The following is a 21580-nucleotide window of genomic DNA, read 5'->3' as shown; positions in this document are numbered from 1 at the left end:
ACCTTGGAAAGGAGAAAGGAGAGGAGAAGGTAAAGGAGAGGAGAGGGTAAAGGTACACCTTGGGAAGGCCTAACAGGGAGCTCCATCACTCCAGCCTGAGAGTGTTCCAAGCCATGAGCCACCTTCCTGGGAAACCTCATAAGCCATCTCTACTGTTTCAATGGGACAGGGAGGAAAGGTGGCCACAGAATATTTTTTTCTTTTTCTTTGATAATTAAAAAACATCTACTTTAGGTGGAAAATTCTGTGCACCTGCATTATTCAAGGAGTGTTCTGTCTTTACCCACTCTACCTTCCTTTCTTTTGCCTCCTTTTAGTAAGAGGAAAGAAAAGTAGATTTCTGCGCAGGTAAAGAATTGAGGGACTCAACATAGTCTGATTCACCATACCCGCAGCAATAAGTCTAGGCAGCTAAACTACAACCTGTGCAAGTAATTGACCTAGAAAAGTCAGAACTTGGTCAATAACTGCCAGTGGTCTAATTTTTTGCTCTTGTCTTCTCAAACCCTTCCCAACTTGAGGCAACCAGAAAAACTCAAATATGCTCCACATACCAATCATATAAGAAGCCCCAGGTTCCTCATGCCAACAGCTTCCGATGAGTTCCGAAGCCTTCCTCTTTTAATATAAAGCTTTCCTACTGCCCTGCCTACATTGGAATCTCTGCCAAAGGCAAGTGATGGGCTCTGACTACCTTGCTCCAGCAACTTTGACTAGGTAGCCTGTTTTCATTTGCACTATGTTTATTTCTACAAAACCATTTTCTCTCCCTCACAAACATGAAAGAGGAGGGCAGAGAGGAGAGAAGTGCCCCTGGAGGAAGCCCATCAATTTAATCCATACAGTTTCTCCCAGGTAGGGACTGAATGGCAGGCTTGGCAGCTATGCCAGCTGCCCCCTCCTGTCTCCCAGGAGGATACTGGAAGGCTTTTAAAGATTCCACTCCTTTTTTGCCATGAAAGTGCTTGATACCTGCTTTAATTGAACTCTGCAGAGAGATCACCAGGGCAGTTTACACACCTCCACCTTCCATTGCATGAAGTGCCTTTGGCCCAGCAAGCCCTGCATGCAAAATGGCACATACTCCTTGTACATTTCACACACTGCCGTTTACCTACTGCACCTTCTCCACCTTAGGTTCCATGGTGCTCATGATCTTCATTCTCCATGGAAAGTGTGGTGGACACATTTTGGCCTTGAGAAATTATTTCTCTTTATCATTGCCTTGGCTGCCCACCACATAAGACCATATCTTCACTTGGTCTTTGGTTTCTGGTTATTTCAGGTTGTTTCAAGCAAACCTGAAACTGAGATTCCTCTTTTTAAGTTCTGGGATGCATGTGCAGAATGTGCAGGTTTGTTATATGGATAAACGTGTGCCATAGTGGTTTGCTGCACCTATCAACCTGTCACCTAGTTATTAAGCCCTGCATGCATTAGCTATTTGTCCTGATGCTCTCCCTCCCCTTGCATCCCCTAACAGGCCCCGACGTGTGTTGTTCCCCTCCCTGTGTCCATGTGTTCTCATTGTGAAACCGAGATTTCTGTGTATGCATTTGAATGAGAACTTGCTGAAGAAGTTCCCAATAGCTGGCCCTAGACTGGGGTCACATCATATGGCAAATTCTGCAAGTCATACATCTATTGGAGTATGCCAGTGAGAATGAAGTTTCCTTTGAACACACTCTGAGAAAGTTGGTTCTGTCAGAAACCACCACTACTGCAAAGGCTGTTTGTGAAGCATAGGCCAAAACCCAGGAACATCCTGGGGCCTTGCACTGGAATAGAGAGTTATTCTCCTGGGGTCAGGTCTGAGGCAGGATTATGCTGAACCAAGGCCATCTTAATTGTTGGTTGCTATGGTCTGAGTGTTTGTGTCCTCCCAAAATTTATATGTTAAAACTTATATGTTACAAGCAATGCAATAGTATTAAGAGATAAGGCCTTTGGAAAGTGATTAGATCATGAGAGCTCTGCCTTCATGAATGGGACTCATGCCCTTACAAAAGAGACCTGAGGGAGCTTGTTTGTCCCTTTGCCATTTGAGGACACAATGAGAAGGAGCCATCTATGAAGCAGAGAATGAGCCCTCACCAGACACTGGATTTGCTACAGCCATAGATCTTGGACTTCCCAGTGTCTAGAACTGTGAACAATACATTTCTGTTGTTTATAAATTACCAAGTCTAAGGTATTTGATTATAGTGGCTATAATGCACTAAGGCACTGGTGCAGGCTGAGAGGAACTGGGGACACTATGGTGGAAGCAGAAGCCATGGAGACCCAAACCCCGGCATAGTCAGGCAGTCTTTTCCATGCTGAGTGGATAACTCACCAAGGCTGGCCCTCTCCAAAAGTTGTAAATTTCTGCTTTGATTTGTGTTTGTGGAGAAATTGCTTTGGAGGGTTTTTTTTCTTCCTCTCCAGACCATGGAGGGGCCTGGCAGACCCACTGGCTATACTGTTGGTCTTCGTCCCTGACTCCTGGTCCTCCACAGGCCACTGATTTTCTGCATTGCTACTTTGGGTATTCTGAGAGTGGGAATTAAAGGTGGGAATTGGCAGGCTTTCTGGAACTCAGCTGTATGGGGTTGGCAGAGTTGCTGTGCTGTACTCTATGGGATGGAAAGGTACACTGCTATTGCTCAAATCAACTGAAAACTGGGCTTCAGAATGATGGTGCAGTCCTCCAACTCAGACCTCTTCTAGCTAAGGAACAGATAGGTGGCCATCACTTCATTGTACTCCTGGCCCATGAGTGAGTCCTGGGTCTCTTCCAGTATGTAACCACAGACACTGTCAACTCAGTCCACTGGAGTCCTAATAGTCAGGGAATGGCTCTACATCTGGCTTTAGTTTATTATCTTAATGGTCTACATTCATCCATCAATCTTTAATTATTTTCTCTAATATGACTCTCTTGCTGGGATTTAGAAGGATAAATTTCTTGAGCAGGTTTCCACATTCCATGGATATGTACAAGGGAATATGGTATTGCACTCTCAGTACTTCCTCTCACAGCTCCTTGAATTTCTGTGCATCAAAAGGCAGAGCCCCACTGATCAGTGTATATATGACTCCCAAGTTCTACACATCAACCTCAAGCCCATCATACCTTTGGCCCTGGAAGAATTTAGGGTCCCATGGGGGACTGCCACAGGAGGTATCCATCTTGTTGCCAAAGACAAATTTGCTACTTAAGCCAAAGTCTGAAATTTTGACTTTCACATCAGCATCCAAGAGCAGGTTTTCTGCATTTATGTCTCACTTCTGTTTAGAGTACTCCACATGCCATTATCTAATCTAATAAAATTAACTATCATATTATTTTAGTCTGTGTTCAAATTTCTCAATTTCTTGAGATGTCTTGTTACAATTGACATGCTTGAGTAAAGGTCCAAGCCAGGTATACACATTATTTTTCCAGAACAATATTACCATTCAAATTACATGTTTTACTTTTTATTTTGCATATAGTCTGTCTCCCTCACTAGAATATCAATTCCAGGCAAGCAGGAATTTTTGTCTGTTTTGTTGTTTATTCTATTTTTTGTTTATTATTCTATTTTGTTGTCTATCCTTCAGCACCTAGTACAGTTCCTGACACATAGTAGGCATTCAAGAAATGTGTGTAGAATGAATTAATTTATGAATTAATGAATAGATGAAGTTGACAACCTGGGAGTGATAGCCCTGGAAGTATGCTGTGTCAACATGGTAAAATTTGTTGCTTCCTTACAAGTTCTAAAACACTGGGCAACTTTACTTAGCCTCAATTTTCTCACATGTAAAATGAAATAATAACTCCAACTTTTCAGGTTTGTTCCAAGAATTAAACAAAATATGCATATGGTACCTGCCATAAATTGCATGGGTCTGTGCTTTGTGTCTTCAATAGTTGTCAGATTTTGTTGTCAATTTTATATTAATTTTATGAAAATAGTTTTTCAATTTTGAAGCTTTTCTTTTTTTGTACTCTGGACTATCTAAGCAGCTCTAGGATAATCTGATCTTTAAAGACTTCATAGAATTCCCCTCTGAAACTATTGGGACATGGTAGTTTTAATTTTGATTTATTTATTTTTATTTGAGGGGGAGTTACTTTATGATATTTTCTATTTCTTTTATGGAGATTGCTCTATTTATTATCTCTACCAATTTCCTAAGGAATTATCAATTTTATCTAGTTGGTTACATGTATTTACATGGAGTTGTTCAAAAGAGTTCCTTATGATATTTTAAATTTCTTTGATATGTCAGTTATGCTTTTTTACAGTGTTATTTTATCTAGCTTAAATGTTCTTTCCAATATTTGCACTACTGTCTACTTCTCACCATTTAGCCGAATGGTTCCTCCTCAAAGTTATCTTTACTGATCAATCTAAAGTGGCTTCCTTCCTTTTGTCCCTATTCTGTATTATTTCCTGCTAGCAATCATTATTTATGAAACTGACCCACAGATTTGTCTGTCTTATTCATCACTACGGACGCAGTGCCTACAGGACATGGCCTTATTAATGAGTATTTCTGAAATGAATGAATGCATGCATGCATCTTTTAGGTATCCAGAGCCAGGCGATAGGCTGTGGGGTTGGGGAGGATTGTTATATTTCTGTTGCAATTTTTAACACCATTCTTCAGGGAAGTGTTATATCACTCCTTAGTCTGCCATAGAAGAAGGAAATCTTTTGTACAGGTCTTAGTGGAACTTTGTAGTTAAAGTTCTGCTTTCTAAACTCAAAGGTGTTCATATTACATATTTAGAGAAGCATGAATGAGCTTAGTCTCAGAATGTGTAAGAACCTAAAACAAAGCTACCATTTGACTCATTAATCCCATTACTGGGTGTATACCCAAAGGAAAATAAATCACTCTGTCGAAAGGACACATGCACTTGTATGTTTATCACAGCACTATTCATAATAGCAAAGACATGGAATCAACCTAGGTGCCCCCAAATGGTTGATTGGATAAGAAAATTTGCTACATATACACCATGGAATACTATGCAGCATAAAAAAGAACAAAATCATGTCCTTTGCAGCAGCATGGGTGCAGCTGGAAGCCATTATCCTAAGTGAATTGCTCAGGAACAGAAAACCAAATACTGCATGTTCTCACTTATAAGTGAGAGCTAAACAATGAGTATAAATCAACATAAAGATGAGAATAATGGACATTGCAGACTACTAGACAGGGGTGAGAGGGAAAGGAGAATTGGTTGAAAAACTACCTATTTGGTAATATACTCACTTGCTGGGTGACAGGATCTGTACCCCAAACCTCACCATCATGCAATATACCCATGTATCAAACATGTACATATACCCCCTAAATCTAAAATAAAATTTGAAATGATTAAATAATGAATTAACTAATTTTACAAAAGAACATGGCTAGAGTAGTAAACCATGTTCTATAAGAACAGTAAGAGTGCTAAAGCACGATCACTTGAAGAGTGTAAGAACAATGTGTATCTGAATACGTATCAGATCCAGGAAACTCAGTAAATCTCAACTGAGTACATACAAAGAACACCATACCTAGGCATATTGATGAAAGCCATGCTAAAAAAAAAAAAAAAAAAAAAAAAAAAAAAAAAAATTCACGGGGCGGAAAAATAGAAAAATAAAAGGCTGTCTAAGAACAATGGAACATGTTCAAAATGCAGTAAAAAGAAAATCACCATCATAGAATTTTATAGCTAGTTAAAATAACTTTCAAAAATGGAAGCAAAATATAGATAATTCTAGATTGACAAAACAAAACAGGAGTTTTTGAAAGCTGGTCCTGGTCCATATGCAAAAAATTACAATTGAAAATTGAAAGGCTTTTGGTCTAAAAGAAAATAACACCAAATGGAAATTCTTATTTATTGGAAGAAATAGAAATAACTAGAAAAGTAAATACATTAGTAAATATAATTTTTTTCTTCTTCTGAATTATTTAAAAGTGAACAGATTCTTGATTTAGTTTTGATCAAGATGAATTATTCACATTGTACCTTTGTTCTCCCATGGATTGCAGCTAAGAAACTGAGAGAATAAACAGCAAATAATACAATTGTAGACATAAATACAAACCTAAATAATTATATTGATGTACCTCAAATAAGTGGCCTAAGCATACCAATTGAAAAACAAAAATTGTCAGAATAATTTAAGAAATCAACTACATGCTATCAACAACAAAATACAAAATATAGTAATATGGGTACCTTAAAAATAAAAAGAAAGATGGAAAAGATATACCATGAAAACACAGAACAAAGGAAAACTAGTGTTGGATTGGTTTCTAGCAGGGCATAATAAATTATCTTAAATTTAGTGGATTAAAACAAAACAAATTTATTATATCACAATGTCTGTAGGTCAGTAGTCCAGGTATAGTTTAGCTAAATCTTATGCTCAGGGACTCAATAATCTGAAATAAAGGTGCCTACCAGGATTGCAATCTCAGGTGAAGCTTGGGTTTCCCTTCCATGCTCACTGGTTTTGGCATAATTCAGCTCCTTGTGGTGGTAGGACTGAGGCTCTCAACATCTGAAGGCTACTCGCCATTTCCTGACACATGGTCTTCTCAACAAAATGGCCATTTGCCTTATTGAGGCTATTAGTGGACAATCTGCTGCTAATTCCTTTCTCTGTTTTTAAGGGTTTGCCTGATTTGTTCAGATAATCACACTTTTGATTAACTAACTAAAAATCAACTCTTTGAGGACCTTAGTTACATCTGCAAAACCTCTAAACTTTTGTCATAGAACATAATATAGTTTCATGATATTTGCTGCTCAGCCTCAAGGGAGGACATGATACAAGTGTGTGAGTCATTGAGAGTCAACCACAGATGGAATGACCATATAAACATCAAAGAAAACTTAAGAGCAAGAAAGACTTTAAGAATGAATAGGAACATCACACAGTGATAAAGGATCAATTTGCCAAAAAGACACGCCAATCCTAAATGTACGTGCACCCAAGAACAAAATACATGAAACATAAACTAATAGAACTGTAACGATCCACAGTTTTCTTTGGATGGTTCCACATTTTGCTTGGTAACAGAAATTCATTAAATTAGTATCATAATCAGATGTTTCAATATGATTATTTTATTCTTTAGAGCACAAAGATTGCTTTTTATTAATATCAAATCTAACCAATTAGGACACTGATATATAAATTTTAGTATCCTAATGTGTGTATATATATCTATATATATACACACAAAAACACATACATACACATAAATGTATATATACACATATACATATGTACACACATATGTATACATACACATATTCTTATCTATAATTATAAATAGACAAAAATATATATAACTAGATAAAAATATATAAATATTATATATTTATATATTATATACTAAATTATAAGAAAATGTTATATATTAACAAATATATAAGTATATATCTGATATATAGTATATATTACAACATATATTCATTATATATACATTATTATATATTACGTATATATTATTATATATTATGTGTGTATATATATTATAATATAACCATGATATTTGGGCTGTGGGTCAAGTCTGTCTCTTTGGTTATGTATAAAATTTATATATACTCTCAGCCTATAAAGATTAAGTAATCAAAAAGATACAACTATGAGGCTGTATTATTACATATATTTTATAAGTTCTTATATATTAATATATAATTAAATAATATATATTAGTATCCTAATTGGTGGGATTCTTTATAAATTGCCCTGAAGGGTTATAATCTATATAATATGTACATATATTTGTCCCAATGAAATATATCTAAATGTATCTAAGATTGGTGTGTGTGTATACATACAAAAGATTAGAGAAAGCAAATTGTTCAAATTTTCTATATTTCTCTTTCTATTATTTTATTCCCCCTATAACAAAACATAATTTCACCGGGATCAAAATATTAACTAAAGTTGTTTCTTATTTATGTATCAAGTACAATGGCCAATTGGTAACTCTTTGCAATAACTGTGTTCCTTCTATTCCCTTTTACATCCCTGTTTCTCTTAACTCACTGTTCTTTCTATGTGAAGCTAGACTCTAAGAGTGACAGCAGGTTAAAAATAACAAAGTCTCAGGATACAAAATCAATGTACAAAAATCACAAGCATTCTTATACACCAATAACAGACAAACAGAGAGCCAAATCATGAGTGAACTCCCATTCACAATTGCTTCAAAGAGAATAAAATACCTAGGAATCCAACTTACAAGGGACGTGAAGGACTCCTTCAAGGAGAACTACAAACCACTGCTCAATGAAATAAAAGAGGATGCAAACAAGTGGAAGAACATTCCATGCTCATGGGTAGGAAGAATCAATATCGTGAAAATGGCCATACTGCCCAAGGTAATTTATAGATTCAATGCCTTCCCCATCAAGCTACCAATGACTTTCTTCACAGAACTGGAAAAAACTACTTTAAAGTTCATATGGAACCAAAAAAGAGCCTGCATTGCCAAGTCAATCCTAAGCCAAAAGAACAAAGCTGGAGGCATCAAGCTACCTGACTTCAAACTATATTACAAGGCTACAGTAACCAAAACAGCATGGTACTCGTACCAAAACAGATATAGACCAAGGGAACAGAACAGAGCCCTCAGAAATAATGCCGCATATCTACAACCATCTGATCTTTGACAAACCTGACAAAAACAAGCAATGGGGAAAGGATTCCCTATTTAATAAATGGTGCTGGGAAAACTGGCTAGTCATATGTAGAAAGCTGAAACTGGATCCCTTCCTTACACCTTATACAAAAATTAATTCAAGATAGATTAAAGACTTACATGTTAGACCTAAAACCATAAAAACCCTAGAAGAAAACCTAGGCAATACCATTCAGGACATAGGCATGGGCAAGGACTTCATGTCTAAAACACCAAAAGCAATGGCAACAAAAGCCAAAATTGACAAATGGGATCTAATTAAACTAAAGAGCTTCTGCACGGCAAAAGAAAGTACCATCAGAGTGAACATGCAACCTACAAAATGGGAGAAAATTTTTGCAACCTACTCATCTGACAAAGGGCTAATATCCAGAATCTACAATGAACTCAAACAAATTTACAAGAAAAAAACAAACAACCCCATCAACAAGTGGGCAAAGTATATGAACAGACACTTCTCAGAAGAAGACATTTGTGCAGCCAAAAAACACATGAAAAAATGCTCATCATCACTGGCCATCAGAGAAATGCAAATCAAAACCACAATGAGATACCATCTCACACCAGTTAGAATGGCAATCATTAAAAAGTCAGGAAACAACAGGTGCTGGAGAGGATGTGGAGAAATAGGAACACTTTTACACTGTTGGTGGGACTGAAAACTAGTTCAACCATCGTGGAAGTCAGTGTGGCGATTCCACAGGGATCTAGAACTAGAAATACCATTTGACCCAGCCATCCCATTACTGGATATATACCCAAAGGATTATAAATCATGCTCCTATAAAGACACATGCACACGTATGTTTATTGCGGCACTACTCACAATAGCAAAGACTTGGAACCAACCCAAATGTCCAACAACGATAGACTGGATTAAGAAAATGTGGCACATATACACCATGGAATACTATGCAGCCATAAAAAATGATGAGTTCATGTCCTTTGTAGGGACATGGATGAAACTGGAAACTATCATTCTCAGCAAACTATCACAGGGACAAAAAACCAAACACCGCATGTTCTCACTCGTAGGTGGGAATTGAACAATGAGAACACATGGACACAGGAAGGGGAACATCACACACCAGGGCCTGTTGTGGGGTGGGGGTAGCTGGGAGGGATAGCATTAGGAGATATACCTAATGCTAAATGATGAGTTAATGGGTGCAGCACACCAACATGGCACATGTATACATATGTAACAAACCTGCACACTGTGCACAGGTACCCTAAAACTTAAAGTATAATAATAATAAAATTTTAAAAAAATAACGCACAGAGAAAATAGCTCTAAAGCAATGTACATATTTAATGTTGAAACCTCTGCCTCCTTGATTTCTTTTTCTTTGAATTAATTTGTCATCACTCTTCTATAATTTCTTTGAGAAGAACCTTACCAATACCATCATCATCCTCATTATTATCACCATTATTTCTAATCCTTCTTAAGGTTTTATTAAATACCATGCAATGTTCTAATGCTCGACCTGCGTTGTCTAATTTAATCCTCACAAAAAAATTCCCAAGTGACAGAGAACACTGAATTCTGACTCAGTTTTCTGGAAGGGATCAAATTTGGTGATTTTATACTGAATGGATGACTTTAATTTCCAATTATTTTAGAAACTATAGTTTCTATGACAGTGTAATTAGGGGTCCATGTTTACAAATCATTCTTAAGAAAACATCAAACTCCCTGGCAAGATTTATATTTTTGAATATGTATTCTCACCACAGAAATCTCTTTGTTTCATTTTCAAGAGAAGTAAGTTGAAAATAGAATATTTAGCCTTTTCTTCTATTATTTCTTTTGGTTTGGGAAAAGCTCCTAAGGTCAATTGATACACAAAGGAAGATCTGTAATCCCTGAGAGGCACCATTGACATGGTGCCATAGAGATGTGCCTGCAGAATCAGCAAACATCTAGGCATGGAATAAACACCAGAAAAACCATACCAGAGTTAAGAAGTACTACTCACTTATCAGTTGCTGTTGAGTCTTTGGTGGAAAAATCACTGAATTAAAGTTATTAGGCTGCTGTTGGTATTCCAGCTCAGTCACTTAGTTTTATCCTATGTGTACTTGAGCAAGGCAGTTTTCTTCTCTTGTTCTTAACTTTTTTCTCCATGAGAAGAGGTCCTCAATTGGAAGGGAATCTGATATAGCAGTAAGGGGACAAATTTTGAAGTCAAACAAAATTAGTATTGAATATAAACTCTGATACTTACAGGTGTGTTTTTGATAAGTTATATAATCCCTTTAAACCTCAGCCTATGCCATGGGGATTTATAGAAATGGAGTATTTCAAAATATATATTATATTTTGTGTATTTTATATAAAAAATAGAAACTCACTTTTTTGGTTAGTTTTGAGGAATAAATTAGAATATAGCAAAATGCTAAACATATGGTAGGTATCCAATAAATGTATCTGACATCCTCTCTGGCATAAACATTCAATTCTTCTTTCACTTCTATTCCAAGGGCAAAATGATGATCATCCTGCTAGAATATGTATATGTTGGTAGCAAATAGTATCAGAATAAATGAATGTACTTCCTAGATCTCAAGAGAAAAGATCTCCCCAAAGGACATCATACCGAGAAAAAAGGAGTTGCAGCTTCACACCTGTACCTTTTTGATTACTTAATCTTTATAGATTGATATTTTATATAAATTTTACAGATAACCAAAGAGACAGACTTTACTCACATAGGCCAAATATCATGGCATGAATATCTTAGCAAAAGCTGAAGGACATAAATTCCTGCTTTTTCCCAAGTTGTCTTCTGGTTGTTTGATGTCAATTTAATGACAACTTTCTCTTTTCCCAAACCTGTGAAGTAAATGAATAAATTTGGCTTAATTGCCAACATCAGATTTTCCAGCGTTCTAAAATCCAGCAGAAGTGGCCTTACTACTTCTTACCTCATTCTTTTTTTTATAAGTCAACTGTAATGACTTAAAATTTACATAAAATACACAGATATTAAGTGCACACTTTAATCGGTTTTGACTAATGTATACATCTAAATAAACACCACACAAATCAACATAAAGAATATCACTGTCACTGAAGTTGCCTCATACTTTTTCTCAGTCCATTCTCCCACCACTACTTCAAGCAACCACTGTCTAATATGTTTCTATAGTTTTGTTTGCTTACACTAAAACTTCAATTGAATGGAATAACACAGAATGTACTCTTGTTTTGGCTTCTTTTCCTCAAAATCTTTTTGAAATTCATCTTGTCAGCATCTTTAGTTCATTCCTTTATAATTCCAAATAGCATACAATTGCATGAATATACCACTATTTCTTTAGCTTTTTCTATAATTTAGCTTTTTCTATAATTTACTTACTCTTTGTTTTGTGTGCATGTGCATCTTAAGTTGAGATATATTTAAGACAACATAATTAACTATTCTGAAGTTTACAAGCCAATGGATTTTAGCATGTCCTCAGGTTGTGCAACCATCACCACTGTCTAATTCCAGAACTTTCTTGTTTTACATAAACCCTGTGACTATTAGCATTCATTCCCCATTCCTCTTTTCCCTCAGCCCCTAAAAGCACTAACTTATTTTCTGTTCCTATGTATTTGTCTATTTGTGTTATTTCATATAACTGGGATTATATAATGTGTGGCCTTTTACGCCTGGCTTCCTTCACTTAGCACAGCAATTTCAAAGTCCTTTCATGTCATAGCCTGTGTCAGTGTGTTATTCCTTTTTATAGATAAATATTTCATTGAAGGCCGTTATATGATAGTTTATCTGTTCATCAGTTGATGGATAATTGGGTTATTTCCACTTTTTGGCTATTGTGAATAAGCTGCTATGAATATTTATGTACAGGTTTTTGCATGAAATGTTTTTAACTATCTTGTGTATGTGTGTGTGTGTATATATATATATATGTATACTTACATAAGTAGTTGTAGGGTACTCTATTTCTTCATGTGGATTTGGATTACAGCTTATGGTTTGGATTACAGGATTTCTTCATATGGATTAGAATTTGACCTTTCATTCAAGACTGAATTACTTTTCTTTAGTAATTTTTGTAGGGCATGTCTGTTAGTGACAAATTCTCTCAACTGGTGTTTATCAGGTAATGTCTTAATTTCTTCTTCATTTTCTTTTCAGTCATCCCACTGCCTTCTGGCATCCATGGTCTCAGATGAGGAATTTGCTGCTAATATTATTGAGGATCCCTTGTATATCATGGGACACATTTTTCTTGTTGCTTTCAATTTTCTGTCTTTGGTTTCTGATAAATTAAATATACGTGTCTAGGTGTAGGTATTTTTGAGTTTATCTTATTTGAAATTCATTGAGCTTCTTAGGTGTTTACATGAATGTACTTCATAAAATGTTGGAAGCTTTTGACCATTATTCCTTCAAGTATTATTCTGTTTCAGCCTTCTTTTTTTCCAGGGACTTCCATCATGTGTATGCCAGTATGATAAGCATGCTGCACAGGAATCTGAAGCTCTGTTGAAGTCTCTGCATTCTTTTTCATTTTTGTTCCATATTAGATCATCTTAATTTGTCTATATTCAGGTTTGCTTATACTTTCTTCTGTCTCATCACATCTACTGTTGAGCCCCTCTAGCACTGAAATTGTATTTTTCAACTGCAAACTTTCCATTTTATTTGTTGAAATAATTTCTAACTTCTTGGTGTTATTTTCTATTTGGTGAGACATTGTTCTCATGCACTTTTTTAGTTATTTTACATTTTAAGGGGAGCCCCTCCACAGGCCAAAGCAATTCTGGTTTGGATAGGTGGACAATGTTGAGGCACAACCAAAAAAAATAAAAAGATATCATGGAGAAAACATGATACCTGAAAACATATGCATTATAGTTAATAAAGCATTAATGTTGGTTCATTAGTTATGACAAACATACCATAGTAATGCAAGATGATAATAACAAGGAAACTGGGTGTGCATCATACTCCGTATTTTTCATGTAAGTTCTCTGTAAATCTAAAACTATTCCAAAATAATATTCTTTAAATATATGAAAGAGACAGAGAGAAAGAGAATCAGGTGAGGAGTCAGAATGCTTATTCATGACCTCAATCAAGATAATCATCCTCTTTGGTTCTCAGTTTTCTCACTGGTAAAATTAGGGGGAGACATTATAGACATCAACATTTCTTCTGGCTATGAAGTGCTAGGAATCTTTAAATACATGCATTTTCAAAAATTCAGATACACATAATTTGAATATGGGTCATGGGCTGCTCATTTGATCAACATATGCAACAGAAAAGGCACTTTTAAGGGAGAAGGAAGCATAGTGGGCAACTTAATCATTCCTCACTTGGAGGTTTCTCTTTACACTGACTCTGGCTGCTGTGGTGCCATATTCATTCTCCTGTGAGCTTGCAACTAATTAAAATATGATATTATGTGGAATAACAACAAAAACATAACTAAAATATACTGAGCCCTTAATCAGTGCCAGACATTGTTCTACGTACTTAGTGTGTATTTTATTTCTAATCCTCACAACAAGCCTATTAGGATAGAGCTATTATTTCCATATTGCTGATGAAGAAATTTGACGTTATAGTTTTTATGGAACATACCTAAGGCCACCTAGGTTAAAGATACTAGATTCTAGGATAATCTGACTAATAGACAATAGAATGGATTACTAAGCAAAGCACTAAAACAATATTTTTAAAAATAAGATTAATATTAGACTACAGGGGTAAATTAAATTTTGTGTTCTTCAGGAAACTGGGAGAATACAAAATTAAGTAACTCAAGGCCCTTTCTAACTACATTTTATTCTTTTTTATCATAAAAGTGTTCACCAAAGCACTTCCCAAGAATTAATTGAGTATCAGTATTTGCAAGGCTTTGTTCTCAGATCTGTATAAAGAATAGTGATTAGTTGCACCTCAGGGACAAGTGGATCCAGATAAAAAGAAATATGACTGCTGAGGGAAGTGGTGAGGAAAATGCAATTCTGTACAGACTGTATGTTGTTGCATTGTGTTGAACACAGTATTTTGTACTCTGGACATTTCAGAAGAAATAAGTTTAGGAAAAAAATTTTCTTTTTTTTATTATTATTATACTTTAAGTTTTAGGGTACATGTGCACAACGTGCAGGTTAGTTACATATGTATACATGTGCCATGTTGGTGTGCTGCACCCATTAACTCCTCATTTAGCATTAGGTATATCTCCTAATGCTATCCCTCCCCCCTACCCCCACCCCACAACAGTCCCCAGTGTGTGATGTTCCCCTTCCTGTGTCCATGTGTTCACATTGTTCAATTCCCACCTATGAGTGAGAACATGCGCTGTTTGGTTTTTTGTCCTTGCGATAGTTTGCTGAGAATGATGGTTTCCAGCTTCATCCATGTCCCTACAAAGGACATGCACTCATCATTTTTTATGGCTGCATAGTATTCCATGGTGTATATGTGCCACATTTTCTTAATCCAGTCTATCATTGTCAGACATTTGGGTTGGTTCCAAGTCTTTGCTATTGTGAGTAGTGCTGCAATAAACATATGTGTGCATGTGTCTTTATAGCAGCATGATTTATAATACTTTGGGTATATACACAGTAATGGGATGGCTGGGTCAAATGGTATTTCTAGTTTAAAATTAAGTTTTGGCCAGTTGTGGTGGCTCACGCCTGTAATCCCCGCACTTTGGGAGGCCGAGGCGGGTGGACCACGAGGTCAGGAGATCGAAACCATCCTGGCTAACACGGTGAAACCCTGTCTGTACTAAAAATACAAAAAATTAGCTGGGTGTGGTGGTGGGCACCTGTAGTCCCAGCTACTTGGGAGGCTGAGGCAGGAGAAGGGCGTGAACCCGGGAGGTGGAGCTTGCAGTGAGCAGAGACCGTGCCACTGCAGTCCAGCCTGGGTGACAGAGCGAGACTCCGTCTCAAAAAACAAAAAACAAAAAAAAAGAAAAAAAATTAAGTTATATTCAGATCAGCATATCTAAATGTTGTACCACAATAAGGATAATTCTCCTCAAAATCTCAGAAAAACACATATCTGTATCTATTCCTTCATCTCTTACTTTCTTCAATATATATTTATGGAACACATAGCAGGTGTCAAATTTGGTGTGGACACATAAAACTAGGCACAATTCCTGTCATCAAGGTGAACAAAACTGCTCCCACTGCTTTGGGTGAACTACTTATTCAATAAATAAATATAAACTGAAAATTATATTCTGGCAGTCAAAGGCAGCACTATGGTGTTAAATAAAAATCAGATAGCTGCTTTTTGTGACAACAAAAAATGCTAAAAGCTATGAGGAAGCATTTTCGTGTTTTACACCTGAGAGTGCCATGAGTAGGTTTGCAATTCAAGAAAATCATGCTGAAAGAAACATGAAGGAAGGATTTTTTTTTAGGAGATCATTAAGGGAAGGGGCAAGGCTGGAATAGGTCAATAGTAATGCCACTACAATCCTTATTATTTTACTTACTCGTTTTAAATCGTCAATGATTCATATTCAAACACCAGATAGGAAATGAGGTTATCAATATTGCCATGCAAGAAGTGTTAGTACTTTACAATGGAATATCTGTAATGTGGTTGCACTAAAGTTTCCTATCTGAGCTTGCTTGTTTGACTTTGCAGTTGCAACAAAGAAGATAAGCTGTGGAAGCTAGGATTTCAGAAAATTTAGATTTAAGGACAAGTGCCAATCAAGGATAAAGCTGAAACTGCAGAGAGCCCGGCATTCAGATTTCCATTCTGCTGTACGTACTGAACTATCTTATTTCTCTTGCAAGCCAAAGATAAGTTTATAAACTTCCAGAATTAAAACTTTATTTAAAAGGTATAAAGGGAAATCTAGAAACATGCCAAAATAATGTCTCCAGCTTGCCTTTCAGTTCCAGTGAGTTCCTAAGCAGCCATTTTACTTGCTCTACATAGCTAAATAGCAGCTGATGCTAACAGGAAGCAAAAGCCTGGAAGTTGTGATGCAGAGATGGAAACTTTTTTCTCTCCAGCCTTTATGCAAGCCTGTAAATCAGTACAGCAGAGTCCTGGGAAAGGAAAATCTCAGAAGTTGCTTAGGTCCCAGATAGGGTAGGAAGAGAAGAAAGAAATTAGCAACACCTAGTACTAGTATCCCCCATTTTCTTGGCCTTCAAATAATTTAGAAAGAGCTTTGCAGGTTGGCAGGAGTTATCCCCACTTTTGACATGCATAGATTACAAACAGAGTAAACAGAAGGCTGGTGACTTATTAGCCTGTACAAATGGCAGACCACCCAATCTTTAACCATTTACAGAACTATCTCCTCTTTCTATACTGAATGGACAAAGACTAATTTCATAATTCCTAAAGTGGATAAACAGAAAAAGAAAGAAGATGAGAGAAGTTAAAAGAATTAGCTAATAAAATAGAGGTTTTTAGAAGAGAAAGACAACAATTTTAACAAAAAGTTAGGATACGAGTATACAAAAATAAAAAAAAATAAACTTTTGAACAACCCATGGATTAAACAGAATATTAAAACAAATTATGGATTATGAAATAAGAAAAAGAATAATATTTCCCACCAAAATCTATGAAATACAGCAAAAGATACCTTCAAAATAAATTGTATAGCTTTAAATTTATTCATAAATAAATAAAAAATGAAAAAGTTATTACTCATTTTACAAGGTAAGAAAAAATAAAATATTAGAAAGAGAAAATATACAAAGATTTAAAAAATGTGTAAAATATAAAAACCTAAACTAGCCTAAAGGATAAATAAATTCAAAATTTAGCATTTTTCAAAGACTGAGAAAACAGATAAACCTGTTGTGAACATGATTAAGGAAATAAGAGAATGGCTATGTACACTATGTCTATTTAAAAGAAAAAAAAAACAGGAATGATGTGGGGTACAGAGAACGATGAATGTTAGATACAATTTAAATATTTTTTTCTTAGTGCTTAGAGTAATTAATTGAACTGCCATTCCTGAAATTTGAATGACTAAAGCGTTGGAGGAAATGATTAGGGGTATGTTCTGAACCTGTTCATTATATATTCAAATGGTACTCTTGAGTAAGCATTTAGATACATAAATTGTGTGTTCACAATATTCTAGATTTCAGGATAAAAGGCCTGGTCAGAAAGATAAATTTGGTAACATATTTAATATAAATCATAAGCATTTGCATCAAAGGATTTGGTGAGATTACCAAAAGAATTAGTTAATTTGTAGTATATTTTGATTTCTGGGGCACTCCTATATTGAGGTAAAGAGAATGGGAAAGAACCAAAAACAATGGAGAAGGACTGGCCGCTTAGGTATGAAGACCAACAAGTGACAGAAGATTTTTTGGAAGCCAAATATAGCAAGTAAGATAGAAATTGAAAAATGACCATGTGACCAAGATTAAATCACTCACTGGTCAATTTTAAGTTCTCATCTTACTTCACCCACCACTTGACCCTCAACACAATTTGACTCAAAGAGATGATTTCTTCTTTCTTGAAACACTATCTGTATTTGGCTTTCAAGACACTTCTGTCTCCTGATTATTGAGTTGTAAATTTAACAAGTAAATTTAAATTTAACAGAAATCCATGTTGTTAATGACAGTGTGGAGGTTGGGGTTTGGGCGGGGTTACCCAGAGAATGTGAGATTTTAGATTCTCCCCCCAAAAAAGGATTTAGCTTACTCCAAGAACACGTCTATGCACCCCATAAGTAACTGTTGTTGGAGAGATAGAAGCTGGAAGAACAGTTGGCTTCCTCATAAAAATAATATATTAAGTATTGACCAAGTAGACCTTTTATTCAAAGAAAAGTGTAATTTAATTACAGGAAATACAGCAATGCAATCTAATTTTATTAATTAAGTGTATAGAGATAATATTATTAGATGATAGTAAGACATTTGTCAAATTCAGCAGTTATAAATAATAAGTTAGAATATGAAGAAATCTACTTAAAATGATAATGACTCTTTACAAAATACAATACCAAACATAACAAAATACAATACCAAACATAATTTGAAATGGAAACCAACAGAATCATACCAATAACAATCAGAAAATATACAAGGATTCTCATTATATTGTCACTCAATGCTGCCTTCTATATGCTATTGGATGAAATAGGCCTGACAATAAAATAATTAGCATAAACATGGGAAAAGGAAAAGGAAAACCATCTTGTTTAGAATGACTTCACCGTGACTTAAAAGCACTCAAATGCTATTTATTAAAAGCACTCAAATGCTATTTAAAAATATAGACTATATAAAAATTTTTTAAATGACTATATTTAAGATCTATGTACAAAAATCAATAGCTTTTCTCTATATTTAAGTACAATAAATAAAAATTAAAAATATTATTTATAACAGAAGCAAAACTAAAAATTTTAAACATTAACTATAAAAATATAGTTAATATTAACTATAAAAATATGGTTAATATTAACTATAAAAATATGGTTAATATTAACTATAAAAATATTAACTATAGTTAATGTTTATAAAAGCATGTTTTTATATAGTATATATAAACATATATAAACACTATTATAAACATAATATATAAATTATATAAACATTATAATGTTTATAAAAACATTAACTATAGTTTATAAAAACATTAACTGTAAGTATATAAGACTGGAAGAGCATTACTTATGGCATGAAAGCACAAGGAGCTTTGCTAACTCATTCCCCAGTAAAACTGGTGAAAGTAGGAAAAAAACAAAACAAAACAAAACTAAAGCTCCTGGAAATGGTCCCAAGGTCAAATAACAAATAAATATGCATTCAAGAGAGTCTACAAAAATTTAGAACAGACTACATTAGTAAAAATAATGTGAATTAGTTTAAACTTGAACATACTCTCAAAAACAGTAGAGTCTGTGGTGAAAGTCAATTGGGAGGATACTGTCAATCTAATAAAAAATACATAAAAGACCGCAGGCTGGCTAGTTTGAAGGAGAGAACTGAAGAATAGAAGAGCTGGGAGAAGCCTTCCCAGAGTCAGAACAAATATAAAATACTTAACTCAGAAATTGTTCCATGAAAGAAGCCGCAATTTAGTTGGATTAGTTAGTATATAAGTTCATATCCTAGGACAACGTTGAAAACAATAAAGCAAACTGACTTAGAAATTTGTGAGATTTAACAGCTGGGTGTGATCAGGGAAAGAATGGGAGAGAGCCCTATCAGTACTATTGTCATTCCAATGAGATTGTTAGCATACACAAAATTGAGCCTCCTTGAGGAACAGTATCAGAGTCTTAACACTGTAGAGAGGAAATAGACTTCAAAAAAATAATCTAGCCTGTCATAAAACATAATCATGCAAATAGAATTAACAAGCTCTGGGGGAAGGGGACTAATATTCAGAATTGCTGTAACATGTTATCCCAAATGTTCAGTTTCTAACAACATTTATGAGGCATGCAAAGAAATGGGAAAGTATAACATACACAGAATGATAGCAGGTAACAGAAATCACCAGATGTCTGTCAGATGTTGGATTTAACCACAACAAAAAAAAAGGACTTCAAAGTAGCTATTATAAATATGTTAACAGAATTGAAAAAAATTCACAATTAAAGAAGTAAAGGATGGTGTAATAATGATAATGTCAAAAAATAAAAAATAACAAAGATGAAGATTATAAGAGAGAACTACATGAAAATTTTGGAGTTGAAAAGTACAATAACTGAAATCAAAATTCAATAGCAGGGCTCAGCATTAGATTTGAACTGGTAGATTAAAAAAAGTGAACTTGAATATGGATCAATAGTAACTGTGTAAGCTGAAGAACAGTGGGGAAAAAAGAATAAAGACAAATGTACACAGCATCAGAGAATTGTGGGACACCATTAACCACACCAACATACAAGTAATGGAATTATCAGAAGAGGGGAGAGAAAAAGAAAAAGAAAATTTTTCTAAGAAATATGAATGAAAGTTCCCTAAACTTTAAAAAGCCAATAACCTATACATCCTGGAAACTCAGTGAACTCTAAGTAGGACGGATATAGAAGACCCATAACCAGACACATCATAGAAAAATTTATAAAAGTCAAAGAAAAGAAAAATCTTAAAGCTGGTGAGGAAAATAATGTGTCATTTGTAAGTGTCTCAAAAAGATTAACAGCTGACTTCTCAGAAGAAACAATGGCTATCAGAAGGCAGTAGAGTAACATATTCAAAGTCTTAGAGAAAATGTCAGTTAGAAATATTATATCCAGCAAAGCTATCATTCAGAGATGAAAGCAAAATACTTTCCCAGATGAACAGAAGCTGAGTGAATGTATTGTTAGCAGACTTGCTTTAAAAGAAAGACTAAAAGAAGTTTTTAAGGATGAAAGCAAGTGACCCCAGACAGTAATTTAAATCCTTAGAAACAAGAGCACCTGTAAAGGTAACAATGAAGTTATAAAAGGCACATTTTTCTTTTTTTCTCTTAGTTTACTTAAAGGCAATTGTTTAAAATGGTATTTATATAATATAGGGTTTGTAACATATAGATACGTAATATATTTGCCAACAGAGGTGAGTTGGAGAAAAAGTGTAATGGACTAAGAAAATGGTAGGATATGGCAAAGTAATAATTATAAAAATCTATTGTTAAGTTGTAACATTGATTAGATATATAGAGCCATAATAACACAAAAGTGGGAGAGGGAACAGATCAATGTAAGGAATAATATATCTTGTTTTAATTGAGCTATTATAAATATGAATCTCATTCTCACAAATTAAGAAATACATATTAAATTCTAGAGCATAAAACTAAAAATGCTACATTGTAAAACATTCACTCAATTAAAAGAAAAGTAGTAAAGGAGAAATGGAACAATAAGAAAGACATAAGACCTACAGAAA

General features: G+C 34.8%; 1 long non-coding RNA gene and 1 pseudogene across 2 annotated transcripts in view; one reads left to right on the top strand and one right to left on the bottom strand.

Moving 5' to 3' along the window:
* LINC02755 (long intergenic non-protein coding RNA 2755) overlaps window positions 1-21580 on the top strand; it is a 258473-nt gene that overhangs the window by 199559 nt on the left and 37334 nt on the right. Inside the window, exon 4 of one of the 2 annotated variants that reach the window (NR_183753.1) lies at window positions 16341-16462. The exons of the other annotated variant lie outside the window; for it this stretch is intronic. This is a non-coding gene — a long non-coding RNA (long intergenic non-protein coding RNA 2755). The remainder of the gene's footprint in view (window positions 1-16340; window positions 16463-21580) is intronic. 2 annotated transcript variants of the gene reach the window in all.
* On the bottom strand, window positions 946-3267 carry LOC100421558 (microtubule affinity regulating kinase 2 pseudogene; annotated as a pseudogene).

This window comes from Homo sapiens, chromosome 11, assembly GCF_000001405.40.
Source record: "Homo sapiens chromosome 11, GRCh38.p14 Primary Assembly".
Taxonomy (NCBI): domain Eukaryota; kingdom Metazoa; phylum Chordata; class Mammalia; order Primates; family Hominidae; genus Homo; species Homo sapiens.
This window is presented reverse-complemented; position numbering and strand designations above follow the sequence as displayed.